This window comes from Homo sapiens, chromosome 14 (assembly GCF_000001405.40).
Source record: "Homo sapiens chromosome 14, GRCh38.p14 Primary Assembly".
In the NCBI taxonomy this organism is placed as follows: domain Eukaryota; kingdom Metazoa; phylum Chordata; class Mammalia; order Primates; family Hominidae; genus Homo; species Homo sapiens.
Window position 1 is genome coordinate 75,119,035 of NC_000014.9, and position 26,496 is coordinate 75,145,530.

Sequence of the window (26,496 nt, forward strand, 5' to 3'; positions counted from 1 at the left end):
GCCGGGTACAGTGGCTCACATCTGTAATCTCAGCACTTTGGGAGGGCAAGGCAGGAGTACTGCTTGAGGCCAGGAGTTCTTCACCAGCCTGGGCAACATGGTGAGACCCCATCTCTACAAAAAATAAATTAGTCAGGAGTGGTGGCATACACTTGTAGTCCTAGCTTCTCGGGAGGTTAAAGCACCGAGAATCAGTTGAGCCCAGGAGGCTGAGGCTGCAGTGAGTCATGATTGCACCACTACATTCCAGCCTGGGCAACAGGGTGAGACCCTGTCTCAAAAACTAAAACAAAATAAAACAAAAAAAGAGTGTTACCATTGCTCATTCATTTAGGATATCCTAAACATCCCACAGTGGTCATCACTTTCACATGCTATTTAACACTGAAGTGGGGACTTTAAAGGAGTGAAGGCAGAGAATTAACTTCATCCTCTAGGGCTTCACAGCATAGAAATATCTCCCATACTACTGAAGCTATTAGGAAAAGTTGAGACGGTCAGATGAGGAAAATGGTGCTCTAGGTAACCATAATTCCCATAAGATACCACACCTCTTCAACTATCACTTATGCCTTGAATTAAGTGATATCAAGGCAACTTTAACAAACTTGGTTGGTGTCAAAGTTTCAAATAATCTGTTAAGGCAAGAGAAGAGGCCTACATGTCCCTGCAATGATATGATTAGGCCATTTAGTCATCTAAATAAAATCACAGGCTATTTTTCTAAAGATAAATTGACCATATGTAAAACAAAATAACTGTGCCTGGTTCACTATGTCTTCCTTTATTGAAAGATGCGAATAAACCAGAACAATATACTTTGTTACTTTTAAAAAGAAAATAACAACATGCAACAGAAGCCATTTAATAGCTATCAAGAAATACATGTTAACTGAATGAACAAACCAATAAAAAAAGAAATCTTAGTGTATTATAATTAATCTCTGGCACCAGTCAATGACTCACTTAAGAAGGGCATAATGATGTGAAAATGTTATTGAGATGCTTCTCTTCTATAGCTAGAAATGAATGCAATCATGCTTGTTTTTAAAGATCTGGTAAATTTGTACAAGTAAATATACAGAGTGAAGAGGCTTTTATTTAAATTAAAAGATCTTAATTATAGAATTAAAAAGAATTGCCAATTATTATTGCTGTGAATTCTTACCAAATACTACTTCTCATAGTGCCCTTCTAGGCTTTACTGATGAATTAACAAACTGAACTCTAAAATTTTTGTCTGTAAAATGACTTCAGTAGTACTTGGCTACTGAGGAGACTCTTCCTAGATCATAAACATGGTTTAACCTCAGGGAGTGAAAATAATATTGCTCATTACTTTCCTTTCCTAGTGATATCAATGGAAAAACTCTTGGCTGCTTAACCAAGAAAATAAAAGTGTTGTTGGGGGGGTATCCACGGTAGGGGCTGAATTGGTAGGGAAGAATCCATCCATAATTTTTTTTACTTCTTACCTATGAAGGATTCCAGCTTTATGGATGCAGCTCACTGCTGAAACAATCTGAAATAGGTACCACACCACCATCTGCAGAGAAAAAATAAATATTTGGATTAGAAACAAAAAGCTCCATTTAAGTAAATACACACACACATAAACAAACAAAACAAAGAAAACTGCAACCAGAAGTTATGATTCAACATGACTTGACATCTCTTCCTTGCAGGTTGAGTAGGCAAAGAAAAGTGAAGGGGTAAAAAACCACAAAAAACAGGTTCCTCATAAAATAGTTCCAATGTCATTATAATATATAGTATGGTAAAGCAGACATGTAGGAAAATTCAGGAAGAATGCAAAGTTATAGAAAACTGGGCATACCAGTACGCAGTAATAGAACCAGGAAAGAAAGCCCACAGAGAATCATGATGTGGAGGTAAAACGTTTAGGAAGCAGCTATAGACAGCTTCCTTGTTAGAGGTTTCCTTTCTCATGAATATCAGAGCCTGGAAGGAGTCTGAACAAAAGGAAAAAAACACTCTTCACTATTGGAAGAGTAAATACAGAACTAGAATGCAAGAATTACAACACTACAATTCTAACTTCCTTCCACAGAAATATGAATTACCTCTTCCTCAAACAACTTGTCCTTCTGACGAAGGATTTTGTCATACAGGTTCCCTCCTGCAATTAAACAAGACACAGATTTGAATTGCTTAATACAGATCAAAGCTTGGCTCCTGTAACAGGTTTTTTTAGGTGACACAAGGAAATGAAGGATTCTGCTTTCTCTCCATAGGCAACTACTTCTTTTGACTTTTCACATGGGCACAAAACTCTTCCCATCTCTCAAGGACCGCATCAGAAATATTCTTCAAAGATCTCCCTCTCTAACACAAGAGGCGTAATTAAAAAAAAGACATTTTTAGAAAAGATGTGAGTAAAGACCATTCTTGTTGTTCCCAACAAGTGAAGTATATTCAAAATCAGATTTCTTTTCTAGAACTCTCCTTTAAGGACTCTACAATATTTTTGTAACAACTCTCCCAGTTGTGACTACTATAACATCTGGATTAGGCTGGGCACATTGGCTCACGCCTATAATCCCAGCACTTTGGGAGGCTGAGGTGGGCAAATCATTTGGGTTTGGGAATTTAAGACCAGCCTGGGCAACACGGCAAAACCCTTGTCTCTACCAAAAATACAAAAAGTTAGCCAGCTGTTGGGGCATGTGCCTGTGGTCCCAGCTAATCAGGAGGCTAAGGTGGGAGGGTCGCCTGAGCGTGGGAGGATCGCCTGAGCCTGGGAGGCGGAGGTTGCAGTGAGCTGGGATCGCACCACTGCACTCCAGGCTGGGTGACAGTGAGAGTCTATCTCAGGAAAAAAAGAAAAAAATTGGGTTACACCTGTGATGCAATGTTTTGTATTTATAGGGTATATATTGACAAATTTTCTACTTCACACCGAAATATTTCCCAAAATTTAGGGTCTACCCCTAGACTGTTTCCTATCATTACTCTCTTTACTAATTTCTTCCTGTGGAATAAGTGTGAATTTACTTCTCTCTTTCCTTTACCAAGTAATACAGACTGCAAGTAATCATGGTTCATCTTACATCCCACCTGCAACTATAACTTACACTTTAGCCCTGGGTAAGTTTTTACAACTTCTTTTCCCCTGCAACTTAATAACTCAGTTTCAATAAATGTATCATTTGTTCCAGTTCTTCCTAACCACAAAAGAAGTTAACTACCTAGGGCTTCTGCTACTTCGAAAATTTTTAACAGAATCTTGTATATGGCATTGATCACCAATGATCATAATATACAAGAGTTTACACAAGGAAGTCGTAAGTGACGAATATGCTGGGACCTCTTTAGCATGCAGTTCAGAAAAGGGCTTTGGAGGTTCTCCTGTGCAATAAGATGATTAACAGCTAGTACAGTATGTAGCAAACACTTTCTACCTACCAAGCACTATGCATGTAATACAACAATCCTAGAAAGTAGGTACTGTTATCAACAAACTTTTTTTTTTTGAGATGGAGTCTCGCTCTGTCACCAGGCTGCAGTGGCATGATCTCCACTCACTGCAACCTCCAACTCCCTGGTTCAAGCGATTCTCCTGCCTCAGCCTCCCGAGTAGCTGGGATTACAGGCACGCGCCACCATGCACAGCTAATTTTTGTTATTTTTAGTAGAGACTGGGTTTAACCATGTTGGCCAGGATGGTCTCGATCTCCTGACCTTGTGATCCTCCCAAAGTGTTGGGATTACAGGCGTGAGCCACCACGCCCAGCTTTTTTTTTTTTTTTTTTTTTTTTGAGACAGGGTCTGGCTCCATCGCCCAGGCTGGAGTGCAGCGGTCTGAGCTCACAAGCTCACTGCAACCTCTGCCTCCCAGTCTCAAGCCATCCTCCCTCCTCAGCCTCCCAAGTAGCTGTGACTACAGGTGCACACCACCCAGCTAATTTTTTGTATTTTTGGTAGTGACAGGGTTTCACTATGTTGCCTAGGCTTTCCTCAAACTCCTATGCTCAAGTGATCTGCTTGTCTTGGCTTCTCAAAGCGCTGGGATTACAGGTGTGCACTGTCCCTGGCCAACAAACTCATTTTAAAATGACAAAACTGCTGGGCATGGTGGCTTAAGCCTGTAATCCCAGCACTTTGGGAGGCGGAGGTGGGCGGATCACCTAAGGTCAGGAGTTCGAGACCAGTCTGGCCAACGTGGCAAAACCCTGTCTCTACTAAAAATACAAAAATTAGCTGGGCGTGGTGGCGCATGCCTGTAATCCCAGCTACTTGGGAGGCTGAGGCAGGAGAATTGCTTGAACCCAGGAGGCGGAGGTTGTGGTGAGCCAAGATGGCACCATTGCACTCCAGCCTTTACTCCAACAAGAGTAAAACTCCATCTCAAAAAAAATAATAATAATAATAAAAATAAAATGAGGAAACTGAGGCACAGAGAAGTTAAGTTTCTTGCCAAGGTTATAGAGCTAGAAAGTAGAGAAACTTGGTTTTAGAGTCTATTTTCTTAACAACTAGGCTATATTGCTATCTTACAAGCAAAATGATGTGAAGAAATCAGGGACCAGATAAATAGGGCCATGCTTTACTATATATTACTTTCACTCAGTTATGATCTTTGGACCACTTTTCAATAGGATAGCTTTAGCTGAAGACAATATAAATAAATATCACCTATAAGATCTTATTAAATACTGTATCAAGTGCTGCCAAGCCACACTCTGGTTAACTAATGTCATTTCATAAAGAAAAACCTTGAAAAATAAAGGTAAAATCCAACCAAAGAAAAGATAGTTTGAAAATGGAACTGTAATCACAAGAGAAAATTTGGGTATGCAGGGGAAAATCCCTCTCCTTATTTCGTACACCACTTCAAAAATTCTCCAAGGCCTGAAAAGTTTCTCTTAAACTCTAGAAATTCATTTAAAGTTTTTATCACTGTATATGTCTCTTCTTATATTCTTCTCCTCAACGTAATTATGAGTCTAAGAAAGTCTTGCTGGAAAAGTCCCACTGAACTCTATCTTACCATTACAATATTCCAGCTCAATCAGCAGCGTGGTATTGTCCATGAAGTGATTGTAGTAGGCAATAATGTTGTCGTGCTGCAGCAGTGCCAGAATAACAATCTCATTCAAGGCATCACGACGTTCCTTCTCAGACAGCCGGGTCAAATCGACTTCCTTCCACACAACCAGTGAGTCATCCTAAACACAGTAACAGAGGTATCGTGCTTTTCCTCTTGCCTGGCAGCAAATGAATCCACACCTAGATCTGTAAGCCTAGAAGGAAAACTTCCTAGAGGGGCACAGACTGACTCCTCTTATTTTTTCCTTTTAACAGACTTTAAAGGTTATGTGTACAATTTAGCATTATAATTTATTGCAGGACAGGGGAAGTAAAGCATTAAAACGTTGTTGTCATACTTAATTTGCATGATGTCAGTTCCAGGTAAAAATATGGGCTGGGGATAGATCTCAAAAAGATTCTATTGAGGATACTATGACAGACTGCTAATCATGATGGTGATTATGGCAGGGCAAGAATACTGGAGAAGCAGAGAACTGGGGAGCAATTATCTATAGCTGGTCCCAGCTTCTAAAATGAAAATACTAAACTTGCCTCTAGTTTTATAAATTTAGACTTCCCTAGTGATTTTCACCTACCCTTTCTGGATAAGAGAAGTCATGACCCCTTTTGCAACTCTATAATCTCCTCTCATACTTTTATGTATCCTGTAGCTCCTGATGTCTACTATCTTTTTTTTTTTTTTTTTTTAAGAGATAGGGTCTCACTCTGTTGCCCAAACTAGAGTGCAGTCATAGCTCATTTCAGCTTTGAACTCCTGGGCTGAAGCAATCCTCCCACCTCAGCTTCCCCAGTAGTTGGGACTACAGGCACGCACTGCCACACTCAGCTAAATTTTTTTTTTTTTTTTTTAAGAGATGGGGTATCACTGTGTTGCCCAGGCTGGTCTAGAACTCCTGGCCTCAAGCGACCCGACCACCTTGGCCTCCCAGGTGTTGGGATTATAGGCATGAGCCACTGTGCCTCGCCTCATTCTTTGCTGACCCTGCTTCCTAGCCCAGGAGCATCTCCACCTATGTAACCCTCCCCATCCTTTTGAATGCCTCTGCCAAGCCTTTACAGTGTTTTTGAAAAGACTCTGATGAAGCTTTTACTGTAACCATGTCTTTAATTTTTAGACCCCATACACTGAAATGATATTTGTTCATTCTTTTCATATCTCTACATATGCAACTTAATGCTATTTGTTTACTAACAATGGTCAACTTATTTTCCTACTGAAATATAAGCTTCTAGAGAAAAAGAGTGCTTCTGAACTTTTGTAAATTCACAGATCTAATAAATATTTGGTGATATGGACAACGCTATGCAATTTTTGGGAAGTGTAATCAAATTTAACTCAAAACCAACCCAGTAATCAAGTTCAACAGGATAATAATAAAAAGGCAATGGGCAAGATGTGAGACTTTAGTTCTAGTCCAAGATTTACTTGTAACTTAAGTGAGCAAGTCACTTAAGTATACTGTTTTAGTTTCTCTAACTAAAATATAGAAATAACAATCCTTATCTCCTCTTTCTCATTTTGAGTGCAAAAAAGAAAACAGACTACTAAGAATAACTAACTCTAACATCATACATTAACGTGGCATCAGGATAAAAAAGAACACTTAAAAATATTCTCTTGCAACCACTTCTCTCCTTCTCCATCTTTCAGCCTTAAAAGTATGCTGGCTTGGAACACACACCAGAACTGCAGATGGATTTCCGACGGATGAATCACCTTCAGCAACCCCAGCAAGTTCTCATTAAATGTTTACCCTAAAGTAAGATTTTATGATCAAATCTAGTGTATCGTTAGTTTTTGGAAGTAGAATAATCACTGCAGGGTTTTACACTAGTATATATTAACTTGGGATTCCGTGATCCATGGATCTCTCCAAAGGATGTGCATATGTGCAAATGTGTTGATGGAGGGGGCAAGATTACTTTGCTTAGGTTATCAAAGGGGTCCTTGTGCCCCCCAAATTAAGAACTAATGGCTTAGAATATACCAACAAAGTATTTCCCATGCATAAACCCTGCAAGATAAACACTGATAAAGAACCAACACACAAAGATCTTCCCAATGAGCTTCAAGAAAAGCTTCCAACTGAGTGATCACTGCTGAACTTAAAGATAATGACAAAAATAACGGAGTTGCCACGGGTGTGGGGATTTTGAAGCTATGCCCCTCCTCCTCACCCCGACCTTGGAGAACTATATATACAGCATGAGAGGAAGGAAGTTTTGGCAATACCTCACATTCGTATACCACTTTAATTTACAGAACAGAGCCTTCGTTTGATTCTCAAGATAATCTTAAAAAAAAAAGAAAAAGATGATTTCAAGGTATTATCAGTAAGCCCATTTTACAGATGGGGAAACTAAAGCTCAAGAGACGGTTAGGTGACTTAGGACAATCAAAAATGACTAGTCAAACCAATGATCTAGCCAATTTCTAGTGCCGGTGAGTGGGAAGAGTGGTGAAGACCCTAAGACATATACCCCGTGGGCGCCTAAAGCACTAAGCTCACGACGCTGGGAAAGCGGGGCCGAGAAGGAGGGACTCGGGGCGACCCGACAGCGCCAGACAGGGCGGCCGGCGCCGAGGGCCGCTACCTCGGTGCGGCGGTACAGCGTGGCTTCCCCGAAGGCGCCGCGGCCCAGGACGCGGATGGGGATGTAGTGCAGTTCCTCCTGCTCCGCCGCGCCGCCGCCGGCTCGCGGCCCCTGACTGGCGCTAGGCCCCGGACTCGAGTCCCCGCAACCCCCGGACTCGCTCCCAAAGTCCGAGTTGATGGAATCGCAGTGTCGCTCGTACTCGCCCAGCACCGACATGGCGGCGGCCGCGGGCCTTGGGGACCAGCCTGCGTATGCCCGGAGGCCCTGGCCGCGCTGCGTCCCGCTCGCTTCAGATGCCGGCCCGCGGATCCGTCAGCCCAGCAACCCCGCGAAGCTCGATGGTGGCTCCTGCCCCCCGACCCGGAAACAGTTCTCTGTGTTTCCGGCCTGGCTGAGTTTCCTCCGCCTTTGCTTACCCTCTTGGCTAGTCTAGCGGCCAAGGCTTCCCGCTTTCGGGGAAGGCCTGCAAAGTGAGGCCTCGGGCTAGGGTTGGCGGGCGCGTGGTGGGAACCGCGTGGAACCGAAGGGCTCCCACGGGAACAAGGGCATCACTGACGGTACGGCCTCTCGGGTCTATTGACCCTTCTCTGCCTCCCCGGTCCGGACTCATACAACTTGGAGGCCCAGAGGTCGTCCAGTCTCATCTTGACGTCAGGTCTGTGACAAGAGGGTGATTGGGGAAGCATTCCCAGTGTACACCTTCTTCCCCATTCCAACGTTGGACAGCATTCTTTTTTAGAGAGATAGTATAGTAAAGATAATATGGCCGGGCAAGGTGGCTCACGCCTGTAATCTCAGCATGTTAGGAAGCCGAGGCGGGCGGATCACCTGAGGTCAGGCGTTTGAGACCAGCCTGACCAACTGGTGAAACCCCGTCTCTATAAAATACAAAAATTAGCCAGGCGTGGTGGCAGGCACCTGTAATCCCAGCTACTCCAGAGGCTGAGGCAGGTGAATCACTTGAACCCGGAAGGAGGAGGTTGCAGCGAGCCGAGATCGCGCACTACACTCCAGCCTGGATAACAGAGCGAGACTTTGTCTCAAAAAAAAAAAAAATAATAATAATATAGACAGCCTAAATGTCTGCCTCCGGTCATCTCGGTCCCTGGGCCGAGTTCTTTCTCCCAGGGCCATCCTAAGTCCCTCCCTCTTCTACACAACTCCAAAAATATTTTAAGTCAACTCTCCTGACACTTTCCTTCTCCCCCGTCTCTTTTTCCAGATTCAATTTATTCTATGTGTTTTTCCAGATATTTGACCATATGATATCATGAAACATTCTTTGAGCACTTGGTGCCACACACTGTTTGGGAACAGGAAATCTGCAATAATGTTCTCCCTACCGTCAAGTAGGAAAACAGCAATACGGTGAACAATAGGTGTTCCATCAGTTATGTGACCTTGGGCAATTATGTGACCTTGGGCAACTTCTCATCTCCAAGCTTGTTTTGTTGTGAGAATGTGGTCTACATCACAGACATAACAGCTAACATTTATTGAGTGTTATGTTCTGGGTACTATGCTAAAGGTTTTTTACGTATTATCTCACATTATTATGTATTATCCTATGTATTATGTATTATGTATTATCCTAACATTCCCATTTTACAGAAACAGAGGTACCTAAGTAACCTGCTTAATGTGACAGACCTAGTAAGAGGGAGCTGGGAAGTTGAACCCAGCAATCTGAAAAAGCAGGATGTGATGGGGCTAAGAGAAAGCCATGTGCCTAGCCGGGCGTGGTGGCTCACACTTGTAATCCCAGCACTTTGGGAGGGCCGATCACTTGAAGCCTGGAGTTCGAGTTCAGCCTGGCCAACATGGTGAAACCCCGTGTCCACTAAAAATACAAAAATTAGCCAGGCGTGCACACACCTGTAATCCCAGCTACTTGGGACGCTGAGGCACAAGAATTGCTTGAACTGGGGAGGCGGAGGTTGCGGTGAGCCAAGATCATGCCACTGCACTCGAGCCTGGGCAACAGAGTGAGAACCTGTCTCAAATACATAAAAATACATTGTGTCATATCGATTTGTGAAAAGTTCCTACTTTAAGAGAGCTTACATGTAACAGAAAACCACCAGGCAATTAAAACAGTTTCTATAAGGGCTATTAAAGTGCAAGATTCTAGAGAGGCATTTAGGAGTGGCATCTGTCCAAGCCAAACTTGCTGTGTGAGTGCAGGAATATACAAAATGTTAAGTCTAAACAAAGTAGAGAGATCATTTCAGGTAGAGGCCATTCCATCTACATCCTCCTATTAATTAGAAGGCACTTTGAGGATAGGTATTGCCTCTTGTTTATCTAGATAAACTCCAGAGTTTAGTTTGGCTTAAATCTGTTAATTCTATTAACTTAATTCTGTTATTCTCGATTAACTCTGTTAAACAGAAAAGATGCTCAATAAATTGTTTCTCAGTTGAATGGGAAAAAACCAATTACTTAAAATTGGGAATGCTGACTTTCAAAGAGGCTGAATAGATTTCAGCCTAAGCTTAAAAATTCATTTTTTTCTGGCACCTTTGCAACGAGGAACTAGTTTTCTATAACGTGGTTGGCCTGAAACTGAATTGTTCTAATGATAATGCATAGATACTACAAGCCTAGAAGAAACATGTCCTATTATAGAGCAGAGACATTCCTGCTGAATTCTTCATTATATTGGATATAACTGAAACTAATTGTCTTACCTTTGAATATTTATAAGTTCAAAAATAGTCAACATTTATTCTAATGGTATAACTTTTTTTTTTTTTTTGGAGACAGTCTCACTCTGTCACTCAGGATGGAGTGCAGTGGCATGATCTCAGCACACTGCAGCCTCCACCTCCCAAGTTCAAGTGATTCTCATGCCTCAGTCTCCTGAGTAGCTGGGATTACAAGCGTCCGCCACCATGCCCAGCTAATTTTTGTATTTTTAGTAGAGAGGGCATTCTGCCATGTTGGCCAGGCTGGTTCTCGAACTCCTGACCTCAAGTGATTGGCCTGCTAAAGTGTTGGGATTACAGGTGTGAGCCACTGCACCTGGCCAAGGTGTAAAATTTTAAAGCGCCTTTGGTTGAAACCAAACTATTTCCACATTGTACTTTAACAAGTGAATGGTTAGAATGCTATTTTGCATTAGTTTCCAATTTGTGAATGGCAAATTCCCAGGGGCCATAGAGTTACTGTCAAGATGAAAGAATCTACCAAAGACCAACCCAAGTTTATACCCTTCACTGTCTGCCACGGTAGCCATTAGCTACATATAGCTACTCAACACTTGAATTGTGGCTAGTCTAATTTTAAGCTATAGATGCGGTATAGCTTGAAATGCACACTGGATTTTCAAGATTTTATATGAAAAATGGAATGCAAAACATCTCATTAACCATTTTTATATTAACTATATGTTGAAATAATATTTTGGGTATATTAGGTTAAATACACTACTAAAAATAATTTTCGGCTGGGCACAGTGGCTGATGCCTATAATTCCAGCACTTTGGGAGGCCAAGGTGAGCAGACCACGAGGTCAGGAGTTCGAGACCATCCTGGCCAACATGGTGAAACCCCATCTCTACTAAAAATACAAAAATTACCTGGGCGTGGTGGCATGTGCCTGTAATCCCAGCTACTCGGGAGGCTGGAGAATCAGCAAATTTTACCTGTTTTTTACTTCTTTAATGTGATACTAGAAAATTTAAAATTATACATGCAGCTCAACATTTTATGAGACACCACTGCAGCAGACTAAATAAATGATTTATAAAGCATGTATTGGGCCGGGCACGGTGGCTCACGCCTGTAATCCCAGCACTTTGGGAGGCTGAGGTGGGTGGATCACGAGGTTGGGAGTTCAAGACCAGCCTGGCCAACATAATGAAACTCCATCTCTACTAAAAATACAAAATTAGCTGGGCGTGCTGGTACATGCCTGTAATCCCAGCTACTCGGGAGGCTGAGGCAGGAGAATTGCTTGAACCCGGAAGGCGGAGGTTGTGGTGAGCCGAGATCATGCCATTGTACTCCAGCCTGGGCAACAAGAGTGAACTCCGTCTCAAAAAAAAAAAAAAAGAAAAGAAAAAAAAATTATACCCCAATAATGGGAACCACTACTTTACACACTATGGATTCATAATAAAATTTATTTGAGGGAGAATGGAGATAAGAGGATAAATAAGAGGCCAGCCAGTGGGTGTGCAAAGCACTTCATATTGGCTCTTGGAAAGTCGCTTTGTGAAAAATGTTCAACTGTAAGTGAAAGGAGAGGAGAAAAGACGTTTACCTCCTGGAGTGGGGTTTTGCATTGGATATGATAGGCCTAAAAAGTGAGTCCTGAGGATTCATATACCGGGGGTGGGGGGTGGGGGTCTTTTAGGAATGAAAGGCAGGGGAGATGGCTCTCTGTAGGAGTGATTCTATGCAATTGCAATTTTAATTGCAAAAACCACAATTACTTTTGTGCGAACCTAATAGTAACAGTTTCCAAAAGAGAGAAGATAAAGAGAATAAAATGCCTAGCTTACAGAACCATATTTGGTCTGAGGATGCATAATTAAGGATTCTTAATTATATATATATATATAATTTACATATATTACATACAAAATATGATAATCTTTTACTAGCTCATATAAACTATCGATCTGCAGTAACTGAAGAATAACAATATTTTTTCTCTAATTCATCAGGTATAATTTGCCATAATTTAAAAGAGAAATATGGAAGAATTATCACCAATCCAGACATAGAAGTACTCAAGAGTAACAGTACACCTAAAATGGTTTCTGCTAGCCTTTATTTGAGAAAATTTACACAAAAATCCCCAATCCAACATTTACAAGTGAATCTGTATAAATCCCATATGCCTCTTTCCCAAACAAACCAAGAAATGGCTTTATGACAGGGGTCCATGACAATGGTATAACAAGGCTTACTTAAACTGCATCATTCTCATTTATATTATACAGACCATTTTGGATAATATGCTCAAAAATGGAGGAAAGCACATAACACCCGATTTTAAAGCTTATTTGCTCTTGTGTCAGTCTTTTGTCAAAGGCAAATACATTTACTTTTTAGATAAAACCAAAGTATAATATCAATTAACTTTTAAACCAAAAGCACAAAATGTCCCAGTTGATAGTTTCGGCATGAGTAAAGGGAAGGGACATGAAAGAATGTCAACTCCTACAAAGCTTAAGTTTAGGGTCACACTTGGGAACAAAAGCATCAACGAAATAAAATATTCTCTTCTCCTATCTTCTTGACATTTTGTCACATCACAAGAACATAACTAAGAGAGTAGCTTTCGTTGCTCCTAAAAAGGGGAAAGGCACCAGTCAGAAATAGGAAAGAAAATCTTGTTAGGCTAACGGTACATGATAGAAATTTCACATTTAAAAGTTTAAAGATGGAGGCTGGGTGTGGTGGCTCACGCGTGTAATCCCAGCACTTTGGGAGGCTGAGGCAGGCAGATCACTTGAGGTCAGGAGTTCGAGACCAACCTGGCCAATATGGTGAAACTCTGCTTCTACTGAAAATACAAAAATTAGCCAGGCATGGTGGTGTGCACCTATATTCCCAGCTACTCAGGAGGCTGAGGCAGGAGAATTGCTTGAACCCAGGAGGTGAAGGTTGCAGCGAGCTGAGATAGTGCCATTGCACTCCAGCCTGGGCGTTGCAGCAAGACTCCGTCCCCCCCCCCCCAAAAAAAAAAAAGTTTAAGGATGTATCTTAACCCACATATTATTTTCTCTACTTGGATGCATCCTCTGTAACTTAGTATATGTAATACTACAGATAGACTTTCTCAACATTTGCTGCCTATGCTAAGGATCTGCAGCCAGGTTCTCAGAAGCAGTACCTACCAATTCTCAACAGCAGATGGCAATGTTGTACAAGTTAACGACAGAACTACTTTTATGCCACAGGAGAGGAAGACACAAGGAGTCAAAAGGGGGAAAAAAAAAGTTTGGGTTCATAGTAGCAGGAACATTAACAGAATAGCCTGAGATTTTAACAGCATAACTCATTCCCTCTTCCACCTTTGTACTTTATCCAGGTCAACACATCAGGGTTCTCTAACGATTCCAGTATTCTGTTTCTTTACTGTAAGATACATGTAATTCTTGCCACTGTGATTAAACAAGCCCTGTAATAGTCAGCAGGGTTAAAAAGAGATTACGGAAAGGATAAACTCCTACCTACTTTCTTGGGAGATGTGGGAAAGATTTCAAGTCACAGCATTTTTCATAACTGTTTATAAACAATGGTCATTTATATCCACACTTTCTCTTATTTACATTAGTTTTGGCCCTTAGGCAACTCATACTCCTACAGTGATTATTGGCTTTGCTTTCATAACATGTATTTTTAAGTATTTACTCTCTTAATGGCCCTCGATGTCTATTTTATACATCATATCTCTTAATTCTCTAGATGGAACACTGAAGGACAGGAATTAAGTAAGTGACTGGCCATGCAAGGGTTGGAAATTTTACTTATTTTTCCTTGGTAGAAGTTATGTTAAAAATTCAAGCAACCACATATCTAACAGAGGAATTTTATCTAGGATATATAAAAAACCTCTCAAAACTCAATAGTAAAAAGAACAAATGACCTAAATAGAAAATAGACAAAAGACATGAAGACATTTCACCGAAGAGGATACATAGATGGCAAATTAGCACACAAAAAGATACTCAACATCATTAGCCATTGGAAATGCAAATTAAAACCACATGTGGTATCATTACACACATCTATGTGAATGGTTAAGATAAAAAATAGTAGTAATACCAAATGCTGGTGAGGATGTGAAGAAACTGGATCAATCATACATTGCTGTCTGAATTGTATGAGTGGCTGTATGTAAAAAGTAGAGCCACTCTGGAAAAAGAGTAGGGTAGTTTCTTACAAAAATATATGTGTTTACCATACAACCCAACAGTTGCCCTTTTGAGCATTTATCCCAGAAAATGAAAATGTATGTTCACATAAAAACCTGTACATGAATGTTCACAGCAGCTTTATTAGGGCAAAAAACTGAAAACAACTCTTATGTCCTTTAGTGGGTGAATGGTTAAGCAAACTGTGGTACATCCATACCATGGAATACTACTCAGCAATCAAAAGGAACTGCCCCCACTTCACCACGATGCAATATATGCATGTAAGAAATCTGTACTTATACCCCCTAAATATATAAAACATTTTTAAAAGAAAAAAAGGAAGAAACTATTCATACATGCAACAACTTGGATGGATTTCAAGGGAATTATGCTGAATGAAAAAAGATCAGCCTCGTAAGATTACATTCTGTATGATTCCATTCATACAACATTCTTGAAATGACAAAATTACAGAGATGGAGGACAGAACAGTGGTAGCCACAGGTTGGGGTGAGGGTATAAGAAAGGGATGTGGCTGCGGCTGTAAAAGGGCAGTGCAAGGGATCCATGTGACAGAACTGTTCTGTCTCTTGTGATGGTGGTCACATGAATCTACACATGTGATAATATTGCATAGAATTAAATACACATACACGAAAAAAGTTCAAGCAGTTGAGCACAAATATTTTAATTGTCTAAAATGACATTTTCTTTAAGAGTTATCTACAGTTCAAAGCTCACTTTTATGAGGTGTCACATCCATCACCATTTTAAGAGATATAAAATCATGAAAAGATATCACCAGAAGCTATGTAAACATTTCAGCTAAGGGTAAAGAGAAAGTTAAGGGTGTTTTCACAAGGAAATTGAAAGAGGGCAATCCAAATGAAGTCAACATGGTCACACAAAAATCTTGGTAAAAGAACTAGAATGGAAGCCCAAGCTGCTGAGCAAGTGGGAGAAGAAAAGAAAACATAGTCCAAACAGATCACACAAGGGAACCCAGGACAAATGCTGACTTTGGCATTATCTAGGTAACCCCTATTTTTTGTCATAGGTGACTCTAATAATAGACCTATTGTTGCAAAACCAGTCAAAATCCTACCAAATTAAAAAGAAGTCCCTCATTGACTTGTTGGGTGTAGGTGGTACCCCATGTCCTCCCACACCAAAAGAGATCAGTTCTGGCAAGAAAGCTCCAACGTGCCTTGATGGTGCTGTTGGTAGGATGCCTTAGGCCAGGCACGTCCCAGCGATGTTCTGCTGGCTGAGGTACAAGGTGGGAGGAGAATATGCCTCATTCATTACTCAATCAATTTCTTGGCCTTGAAGAAGCGTCGCAGGTAGAAGACCTGCCAGGTAGCTAGTCCAATGAGACAGAACATTGAAAAGATGCTGAAGTATAGGACCCGAGTGTTTGTTGACTCTAAAAAAAAACAAAAGCATTGTAAACATAATGAAGTGAGCCTCCTCAGCTGGCTAAACAATGGCAGGGGAGGTGGGTAAAGGCAATTAATTAACTTCACTCTGTCCCTAGGTCTAACAGTAGGATTTCAGATAATTTTTCTTTTTAAGTTCATTATCCTGGCTGGGCATGGTGTAATCCCAGCCTGTAATCCCAGCACTCTGGGAGGCTGAGGCAGGCAGATCATGAAGTCAGGAGATCGAGACCATCCTGGCTAACTCTGTCTCTATTAAAAATACGAAAAATTAGCCAGGCATGGTGGCTTGTGCCTATAGTCCCAGCTACTTGGGAGGCTGAGGCAGGAGAATTGCTTGAACCCAGGAGGCGGAGGTTGCAGTGAGCCGAGATCGCACCACCGTACTCCAGCCTGAGCGACAGAGCGAGACTCCATCTCAAAAATAAGTAAATAAATAAAAATAAAAGTTCATTATCCTATATATAAATGTTGAAAATTACAAAGATTGGTGCTATCAGTTTGATGTGGGTATAGACTAATTGAGGATGTTGTCACCTGCCTATCACAGTAGGAGTTTCTACTCTCTTGAAAATCTAACAAGGCTCATTTACCTTTAGCAGCAACAACAGCGAAGCAAGCAATTTCCCCTCCATATACCCACCTTGGCAAAACTGAGAAAAGGGTACACCAGAATTGAAAGTTTGGAGACTGTCTCATTTATGGGTCACTTAAGAAGTAAGAGTCGCCTTCCCCCTCACCGTTGGTATCACGCATCTCCTCTTCTCTCTTCTTCATGTAGGCAAAATCATTAACAATAGATTCTGAAAGGTCTTCTAGGCGTCGCAGCTCTACCTCTAATGGTTTGAGCTTCTCAACTTTTGCAATCTGGAAAAGAATGGAATATTTTCAGCTCTCTGAAAACATCGCTTCAGTCAAGAACATAAAGAAGGCAACAGAGAAGTCTTTTTTAAAGTTTCACCAGATTTAAATTCTCTCCTATCAATCATCCTAACATATTTTAAAATTTGGGCTTCTTTCTTTCCCTATAGACTATATCTTTCCATTTCAGACCTTTTTTGATACTTTAATTTTGACTAAAATCTTAGAAGTAATATAATAACCGTAGGCTATAAAGTAAGATATACTATTGTCTCAAGATTTTTTACTTTTTTTTTGAGACAGGGTTTTACTCTGTTGCCCAGGCTGGAGTGCAGTGGCACAGTCTTGGCTCACTGCAGGCTCGACCTCCTGGGCTCAGGCAATCCTCTTGCCTCAGCATCCCAAGTAGCTGGGACCACAGTCATGCACTGCCACACCCAGCTAATTTTTATACTTTTTCTAGAGATGGGGTTTTGCCATGTTGCCCAGGCTGGTCTCGAACTCCTAAGCTCAAGCAATCTGTCCGCCTTGGCCTCCCAAAGTGTTGGGACTACAAGTGTGAGCCACCATGCCCAGCTGATTTTTGACTTTAGTAAAGCACTTTACTTTGCACTTCCACTCATGTCTAAGAAGTAAACTATTGTTAATACAATAAATGTGGGAGTCATATTAAGTCAAACCTGGTTTTAGAAGAAAAACCACTAAATTCATTAAACCTTTGACAGTACATAGGAATGTGAGCATGTGTTGTTATAGCATTAAAGTAATAATTCAAAATACACAATTAGAGAATTCTGGTTCATATAAATCCTACAACAACTTTAAGGTTTAATATCAGAGCTCAGATGTGAGAAAACTGCACTGAATTTTTTATGTATTTTTTTCTTTTAGAATGACACAGCCAGTTATCAAAAGAAATCTTCAAGGAATTCCCTGTATGCTGAGGAATGAAGGATGTGAGAAAGAAATTAACTGTCTTCTGCTCTCAAGTTAGACCCCTAAGAAAACTCTTAAGAGTATCTAATAACTAGAGGCATCTGTCACACCAGCAAAGATGTCATTATTGTTTTTTTCTTATCAGTCTTAGATTATGCTTTGCTTTAAAATGAGATACACCACCAGAGCTTTCCAGATCTTTTTTTTTTTTTTTGGAGATGGAGTCTCACTCTTGCCAGGCTAGAGTGCAGTGGTGTGGTTTTGGCTCACTGCAACCTCTGCCTCCTGGGTTCAAGTGATTCTCCTGCCTCAGCCTCCTAAGTAGCTGGGACTACAGGCGTGCGCCACCACACCCAGCTAATTTTTTGTATTTTTAGTCGAGATGGGGTTTCACCATGTTGGTCAGGATGGTCTCGATCTCTTGACCTCGTGATCCACCTGCCTCGGCCTCCCAAAGTGCTGAGATTACAGGCGTGATCCACCATGCCCGGCCAGCTTTCCAGATCTTAAAACTTTTACATACCAGTTGCTCTTAAAGTTTCCACATAGAGAATTCTTTAATAATTCTGTTTCTGGCCGGGTGTGGTGGCTCACACCTGTAATCCCAGCACTTTGGGAGGCCGAGGTGGGTGGAACACGAGGTCAGGAGATCGAGACCATCCTGGCTAACACGGTGAAACCCCGTCTCTACTAAAAATAAAAAAAAAAAATAGCTGGGCGTGGTGGCGGGCGCCTGTAGTCCCAGCTACTCGGGAGGCTGCGGCAGGAGAATGGCGTGAACCCAGGAGGCGGAGCTTGCAGTGAGTTGAGATTGTGCCACTGCACTCCAGGATGGGTGACAGAGCGAGACTCCATCTCAAAAAAAAAAAAAAAAATTCTGTTTCTTTCTTTCTTTTTTTTTTTTTTTTAAGGATGGAGTCTCACTCTGTTGCCCAGGCTGGAGTACAGTGGTATGATCTTGGCTCACTGCAACCTCTGCCTCCCAGGTTCAAAAAAATCCTCCCACCTCAGCCTCCTGAGTAGCTGGGATTACAGGTGTGTGCCACCCCACCCAGCTAATTTTTATATGTTCAGTAGAGATGAGATTTCACCACGTTGGCCAGGCTGGTCTTGAACTCCTAACCTCAGGTGATCCATCCACCTCGACCTCCCAAAGTGCTGGGATTACAGGCGTGAGCCACTGCACCTGGCCTTAATAATTCTGTTTATATATCTGCTTCTTTACTCCCTATTTACTGTACATTCCCTATGGCCCACTTTTTTTTCTCTCCTTTGTTCAATTCATTGTCCTTGTCCTTTTCTTTGTGAAATGTTAACAGCAGTTAACAAGGGATGAATAGGAGGCATTTATTTTATGTTTTCTTATTATATTCTTCACTAAATGTGTGATGAACAAAAGTTATTTAAAATAAAACAAACTGCTGTTAAAATTGGGATGTAAAAATTGAGTTTATATTTAAGGTCCATAAAAATATGGTGATAGACTTGCGATGATACACCTACAGTTTTCTCTCACCAGAAGCACATTTTCTTGCGTTTGTAAAATGTTGGCTAGAGTTAACGGTGTGACTGGTAACTGCAGAACAGCTTCTGGGTGTAAGATTTAACCAATAGTTAATGCACAGAGCTAACTTTCCTAAGTGAATGGCCAAATGCCAGGTTTTGTCATTAACCCAGAATATATATCTGTTCATTGATCTCATATAGAGCTGCAGAACAAAAAAAAATTCCTCAAGAAAAATACAGGAGCTATACAAGCTGAACCTTAGTCTAACATCTTCCCTCCTGCTCTATACTTCCCCACTCAGAGCTTCCTAAATGAGACAGTATAAAGGAAATGGCATGATACTTCTTAGAGATAAATTATTTAAAGTTCCCTAAATAGAAACTTGCAAAAGAAACTGGAAGTGAAACTATGGCTGTGCCTCTGCCAGCTGAAAATGATATTAAAAAAAAAATTACTTTAAAGCCTACTGAATCCCACAGCCTTTGCTTCTTTTTTTTTTTTTTTTTTTTATTTTTGTTGTTGTTGTTGTTAAAGGACAATAGTCCAGAGACCTAAAACCCGAAAAACAATGATGGAATTAAACCTGGTACTGAAGATGGCTTTTGTAGATTACAGCCCCCCACAAGCTGTTCCCAATCCCTTTCCAGTAATAAAACTTATTTTTTAGTTGTACAACCAACACATAAATATATTCTTTGGCTAAAAATTTAAACTATCCAGAAGCAAAGAGAATATAAACCAAAAGTCTACCTTCATGGTTCCTCAATTCCCACATTGCTTTCCAGAGGTAAAGATGCTTATAAACTTGATGTATTATCTTTCCACACCTTTTCTTCTGAGACACTATGCTTTTGTATGTAAATGTACACAGAAAAATATAACTTAAAATCTATTTATAAATGGCATACTACACACATTGTTCTATAGCTTTTTTCCATTTAGTAAGATCTTTCCAAAAATGTCAGTGCTTATCAATTCATCTTATTCTTAACTGCTGCACAGCATTCCACACAGCTAGTATTCCACATTGTTTAGTTAATCATTCAATTCCCAACCCCTTTTCTAGTACAGGTGCTACTTCAGACTCTACACCTCTATTCATAACCAAACAGTCAAATTCCTATCTTCAAAGTTGATTTTATTTCCTCAACAAAATCTCTGCTGAGGCCAAGCGTGGTGGCTCACACCTGTTATCCCAATACTTCGAGAGGCTGAGGCAGGAGGATCACTTGAGCCTGGGAGGTCAAGGCTGCAGTGAGCCAAGATCATGCCACTATACTCCATCCTGGGAGACAAACTGAGACTCCGACTCAAAAAAAAAAAAAAAAAATCTATTGAATCCCATCTTTCATCCAGAAAATTATTTTCAGACCTTCATTAGTGGGATGAAGGTCTCATTTTGGTCTCATTTCCTAGAAGCCATTTTTGCCTAATAAGTACCTTCACTCATGATACTAATTTAAAATCTAGAAATCTTAAAGAAATCTCAAGAGACTAAAACAGTACTGAAATCTAGCTTGCCATTCCAAACACCTAGTACACCATGGATACTCAATAGTAAAAAACAACAATCATGGATATATTTCTATGTTGAATCTAAACCTAGAAATCCAAATAATATTTGGAGGAAATCAAAGAACAAAGATCTTTTCAAACCACCAAAATCTGACGGACTTAACAATTAAATGCTATTAAGGAAAGTAATTCCGCCTTCCTCCATGTGAGAACACAGTGAGGAGGCAGTATGCATTCAGAAGAGGACCCTCACCAGAACCTGACCACACTGGCACCCTGATCTTGAACTTCCTAGACTCCAGAACTATGAGAAATAAATTTCTGTTGTTTATTCTTTTTGAGATGGACTCTTGCTCTGTCACCCAGATTCTCCTGCCTCAGCCTCCCAAGTAGCTGGGATTACAGGCACGTGCCACCACGCCCAGCTAATTTTTGTATTTTTAGTAGAGACAGGGTTTCACCATGTTGGTCAGGCTGGTCTCGAACTTGTGACCTCATGATCCGCCCTCCTCGGCCTCCCAAAGTGCTGGGATTACAGGCGTGAGCCACTGGGCCTGGCCTGTTTATTTTTACAAAAGAAAAAAATTAGCCAGGTGTGGTGGCTCACGCCTGTAATCTCAGCACTTTGGGAGGCTGAAGCGGATGGATCACTTGAGACCAGGAGTTTGAGACCAGCCTGGCCAACATGGTGAAACCCAGTCTTTATTAAAATTACAAAAATTAGCTGGGCATGGTGGCGCATGCCTGTAGTCCCAGCTACTCAGGAGGCTGAGGCACGAGAATCCTTTGAACCTGGGAGGCAGAGGTTGCAGTGAGCTGAGATGGCACCGCTGCACTCCAGCCTGGGCTGGGTGGACTCTGTCTCAAAAAAATAAATAAATGAAGAAGTAGTAGTAGTAGTCAGTGGTTTAAAACAAAAAACAAAAAACCTTCACTGCAGGCAGGGCACAGTGGCTCATGCCAGTAATACCAGCACTTTGGGAAGCCAAGGCAGGTGGATTGCTGGAGACCAGGCTGGGCAACACAGCAAGACCCCATCTCTATTACAAAGTAGTAATAATAATAAAGAAAAAAAAACTTTATTGCAAGAATATATAACAATAGACTTTTATTACCAGCTTAAAACAAATATAAAAAAGTTTCTTGATTTTTTTTAAACATTTTAAGGCCTTAACGTTTTTTTCTGAGTTCTTATTATGTGCAAGGTACCAAGGTAAGTTATGATCTTAAGCTCTCACAGCTTATATAGTAAGTTATAACCATAATATATGGCTTTATGTAGTAACTTCTATAACAAAAAATACACATTAAAAACAGTTCTAGTTGGGAGGACAAAGTGAAGCTTAACAGGAAGTGGGTGAGCTGGGTCTCACAAGTTGGGCAGGACTTTTGAGAGGGCATTCAAGGCTGAGGGGAACCTGTAAACCAAAACACGGAGGGAGTAAAGTGCAGGCATGTTTAGCAACTACGAATAGTCTAGACATAAGTAGTCTGGTGTGCTAGAAACTAGACTATAGGGTATGTGTGCATGTACACACATAACTGCCACACACTTGTGCTTGGGGAGGGTAGGGGATAATAGCAAATAAAAGGCTCAAAAGTTAGGCTGAGACTAAATTAGGGAAGGGGATGAAAAAGGTAGTATAATGAATCAGAGCCATTCATATATGCTCACAATGTAGTATATTTTGTAATCTCATTTAATCCTCGTAACCCTATAAGGTGAATATTTTTATCCTTAAGTTTTGCAGATGAGGAAACTAAGGCTCTGAGGTATTAAATAATTTGCCCAAAGTATCACAGCTTGGTGCAGTTGGCATTAGAATCCAAGTCTATGTGAGTTTATTCTGTAAGTACTAGAAATTTAATAAAGAAAACCAGATGAGTATACTAAGTTTTTCCTGAATCAAAGGTGAAATGAACAAGCTATATTAGGCCACAAGGATCTATATAAGTTGTCCTGTTTGCTTGACTAATAAAGTTTGACTAATAAACTTCCTGGGTTTCCCATTGCTATTATTTTTGCAGGGCAACAGAGTAAAATTTTAAAACAAATCATGGTAAGTATTCTCAAGAAGACGCTCTTTACTTGCTCTGGACTAAGCATTCAATACATAGCATTGAGGCTTTATATCACAGTACAAAAAGCTAAAAAATCCTCAATATCAAAATTCCCACTTTCTGTTGTTCTGCTCTTGTAAGCAGTTGATTGAACTGTTCAGAGTATCTGTAAAAATGCCAAATTATACATGTTTCATGAAGGCAGGCTGGTATTCTATTCTACTCTCCTTCATCACTGGAAGCATGAGGTATGTTTTGCCAAGTCTGTAAGACAATGTGCACCACAGGTTCTCCAATAGGGGGTGATATCCCCCTGGCAAGCTGCATGTAGTTGTTAAATAATCAAAGGATGTTATAGTTACAAGGTGCTTCATTTTGCAGTGAGTCCCTCATTTTTCAAATGAGGAAACTAAAGATTCCATAAAGTTACTCAGCCCTTTGGGTGTCCAACCAAAATTAACAGTACCATGGTCTCTTAACTCCCTACCCAGGGTGATCACAGCATTTAAACTGCCAAACTCTGCTGTAAAATTCGAGAACAGAATCCCTGACTTCCAAAAGCATTTATGCTCTCTGTACCCAAATCTGACCTATCTTTCAAGCCTCCTTGAAAGCCTCCTTCAACCACTCTTGTCCACACTGTCTTCCCTGAAGCCCTACAACACATACTGTGTCACACAGTTAACACTCAATCATATATTGTCATATTCACAAATTGTTTTATTTTTATCCTGTCCCTCCACACTAGTTTGGCTCCTGAACTCAAGGAAATTAAAATGATTTATAGTTTATATAGTCGTAAAGACCTGAGACTTGGTAAACACTTGTAATTGACCTGTTCTGCCCACTCTATGCCTTCTTCAAAGAAGCCAACTTTCTCAAAGTAGCTAAGTGCTGCTGGTCCCCTGAAGCAAGTGTTTCTTGTATACTAAAAGCACTCTGCATTGATTTTTTTTCTTTCTTTTTTTTATTTTTTTGAGATAGAGTTTTGCTTTGTCACCCATGCTGGAGTGCAGTGGCACGATCTTGGCTCACTGCAACCTCTGCCTCCCAGGTTCAAATGATTCTCCTGCCTCAGCTTCCCGAGTAGCTGGGATTACAGGCGCCTGCCACCACACCCAGCTAATTTTTGTATTTTTAGTAGAGACAGGGTTTCACCATGTTGGCCAAGTTGGTCTTGAACTCCTGACCTCAGGTGATCCACCTGCCTCAGCCTTCCAAAGTGCTGGGATTACAGGTGTGAGCCACCGCGCCCAGCCTGCATCTATTTTCATGAGGCCCGCCGCCTAGGAGAAAGCCTTCTCTACCACCATATCTATTAACATCATTCTTACTGGTCATGGTAGGTACTGTTTGGAAAAGCTACAAGTTACAAAGCCTTTTTCTGTATAACACCTCCAAAATACCAGTAAAATTAAACTCTTCTAAAACCATATCCAAATCTTCCATTATAATGAAGATTTGAATCTAAAGAGTTCACAGAGTTATATGTAACTGTACCAAGAAAAGGTATTAATTCTCTGAAAAAACTGCTTCTTAAAACAGAGGTGTTAATCTAACCTCTAGGGAATCTCTAAATTCTTTTCCTTGGTGGAGCATCAAGATCCAAGAGAGAAGCTTCTTGTGACAAGACAAATTCAGTCAAAGTAGTTTGCTGCCTCCATGCCTCCCACCACAGCCCCCACCAACTCCAGGAGCACAGCAATAAATGTGAAGACCATCTAGTCTAACACAAGCAAGATAAACATAACAGAGCTGGCACAGTGGCTCATGCCTGTAATCCCAGCACTTTGGGAGGCCGAGGTGGCCAGATCACTTGAGGTCAGGAGTTGGAGACCAGCCTGGCCTACATGGTGAAACCCTGTCTCTACTAAAAATACAAAAATTAGCTGGGTGTGGTGGTGCACACTTGTAATCCCAGCTACTCGGGAGGCTGAGGCAGAATAATTGTTTGAACCCGGGAGGCAGAGGTTGCAGTGAGCTAAGATCACGCCACTGCACTACAGCCTGAATAACTGAGTGATACTCTGTCTCAAAAAAAAAAAAAAAAAGGACTTTGGATCTAGTACATGGAATCAGAGTTCCTCCTTCCTGAGAGCACTCAGAGAAACAGAACTTTTGGAAAGTCTTCAGCTGTTGCTCCAACCAGGGCAGCTGTGTTTTTGGAATATAGATTGATAGCAAATGACAGACAAATAGAATCGCCTAGGCAAAGCGGTATTTTACTCGTGGGACACACAGCCCAGGAGTTAGAAGATGTGTCAGATAGCTCCTTCTTTGTCGGACAGTAATTGCCTGCATTCTCCCAACTGCACAGACAGTAAGTCCCTACAAACAACTGCTCTAGTTCACAGATGACAAACTAAAAAGAAGTGGCTCGGTTCACATCCTGAATCTACAAAGATACACCCTCTGAAGGGCAGAAGTGAGACAGTGGTCAGAGGTTCATAAAATAAAATGCAAGAAATCAAAATCAAAAGTGCTTTATTTCCGAGGACAAAGGCATTCTTTCTCTTTAAAGAATTCAAACAACAAGACTTAATGCTTCTTCACAGTATGACAAGCATTCTGTCTTCCAAATAATATCATCTTACATTTGTATTGTGTTACATAGCAATTTCACATGGATTAATTAATAACAATTTAGGTAGGTAGTGTGGTACAATTACTATTCAATCTTACAGGACCACATGGGATTTCAGAATTATGAGTCCACAGATATGAGGGAGAGATGTGTTGGACATGAAAATTAAAGAAGTATGCCACATTCCCGAATCTTAATGCTGATGCCAAAGATTCCAAATCCTCTGGAGATAAAGCCTCTCCATTATCTCAAGGGCCTGAAATTAAATCGTTCAAGTGATTCTCTTGCTTCAGCCTCCCGAGTAGTTGGGACTACAGGTACCCGCCACCATGCCCGGCTAATTTTTGTATTTTTAGTAGAGATGGGGTTTTCGCCAGGTTGGCCAGGCTGGTCTCCAACTCCTGACCTTGGGTGATCCACCCACCTTGGCCTCCCAAAGTGCTGGGATTACAGGTGTGAGCCACCGTGCCCTGCCAGCTAACAGCCATTTCTAAGCAAGGTTCAAGGCAGCCTTGCTGCAGACTGAAGAAAGGGCTGGTCTTCGGACTGTGTCATAGCCATTCCTCCTCTACATCAATCTGGTCTGCTGCTGGGGAGCAGGGGTGAAGGGCAGGAGGGTGGGGATAGATGTTAAAGAAAGTAGTGGGGAGGAGTTTCTTGGTTAAGAAGCAGAACCTTGGAGCTGTGTTGTAACTACATGCGTAAAGGCAGGCTTAGGACATGTCAGACGTCTGAAGCAGGAAGCAGGCAAAGGAAGCACCGTGGTTTTCTTTGGGCTAGGGATTCCCCTCTTGGGTTAAGCAAAAGGTCAGGAAAGATAAAGCCCCTTTCCTAATGTCTATAAAGTCCAAGGATGATGGAAATTCCAGGAGGTATAGGGGTTCTAAAATGCTATACGACAGCTGTGTCCAAAGCATTCTTTATATAAACCCACAATAATGTCATCTGTTTTTGAGGGGAACTAGCTATGTCTACTGTCTAATAGGGCATTGATGTGTTGTTATTTAATAAATACCCTTGGGCTGGGCGCGGTGCCTCACGCATGTA

At 41.1% G+C, this 26,496-nt stretch overlaps 2 protein-coding genes across 6 annotated transcripts in view, besides 2 other annotated features; both read right to left on the reverse strand.

Moving 5' to 3' along the window:
- The window catches only part of NEK9 (NIMA related kinase 9), a 47,850-nt gene extending 39,682 nt beyond the window's left edge, over positions 1–8,168 (reverse strand). For 2 of the 5 annotated variants that reach the window (NM_001329238.2, XM_005268209.4), the window contains exons 1-4: positions 7,871–8,014; positions 5,012–5,189; positions 2,085–2,140; positions 1,476–1,546 (exon numbers count right to left, since the gene is read on the reverse strand). In NM_001329238.2, coding sequence (NP_001316167.1) covers positions 1,476–1,546; positions 2,085–2,140; positions 5,012–5,054 — 170 coding nt within the window. In that variant the 5' untranslated portion in view covers positions 5,055–5,189; positions 7,871–8,014. Of the gene's footprint in view, positions 1–1,475; positions 1,547–2,084; positions 2,141–5,011; positions 5,190–7,668; positions 8,015–8,087 lie in introns of those variants that run through there. The other 3 variants (NM_033116.6, NM_001329237.2, XM_047431919.1) reach the window with 2 other exon arrangements.
- Positions 7,878–7,927: an enhancer, noted in NCBI's record as "active region_8736". NCBI's record gives its function as "activates an Ori minimal core promoter by ATAC-STARR-seq in GM12878 lymphoblastoid cells {active_cell/tissue: GM12878}" and the evidence as "EXISTENCE:reporter gene assay evidence [ECO:0000049][PMID:35858748]".
- Positions 7,938–8,067: an enhancer, noted in NCBI's record as "active region_8737". NCBI's record gives its function as "activates an Ori minimal core promoter by ATAC-STARR-seq in GM12878 lymphoblastoid cells {active_cell/tissue: GM12878}" and the evidence as "EXISTENCE:reporter gene assay evidence [ECO:0000049][PMID:35858748]".
- Positions 12,435–26,496, reverse strand: part of TMED10 (transmembrane p24 trafficking protein 10) — a 45,144-nt gene continuing 31,082 nt past the window's right edge. Inside the window, exons 4-5 of the mRNA NM_006827.6 lie at positions 16,726–16,852; positions 12,435–15,972 (exon numbers count right to left, since the gene is read on the reverse strand). Of these exons, the coding sequence (NP_006818.3) occupies positions 15,851–15,972; positions 16,726–16,852 (249 nt within the window). The 3' untranslated portion in view covers positions 12,435–15,850. The remainder of the gene's footprint in view (positions 15,973–16,725; positions 16,853–26,496) is intronic.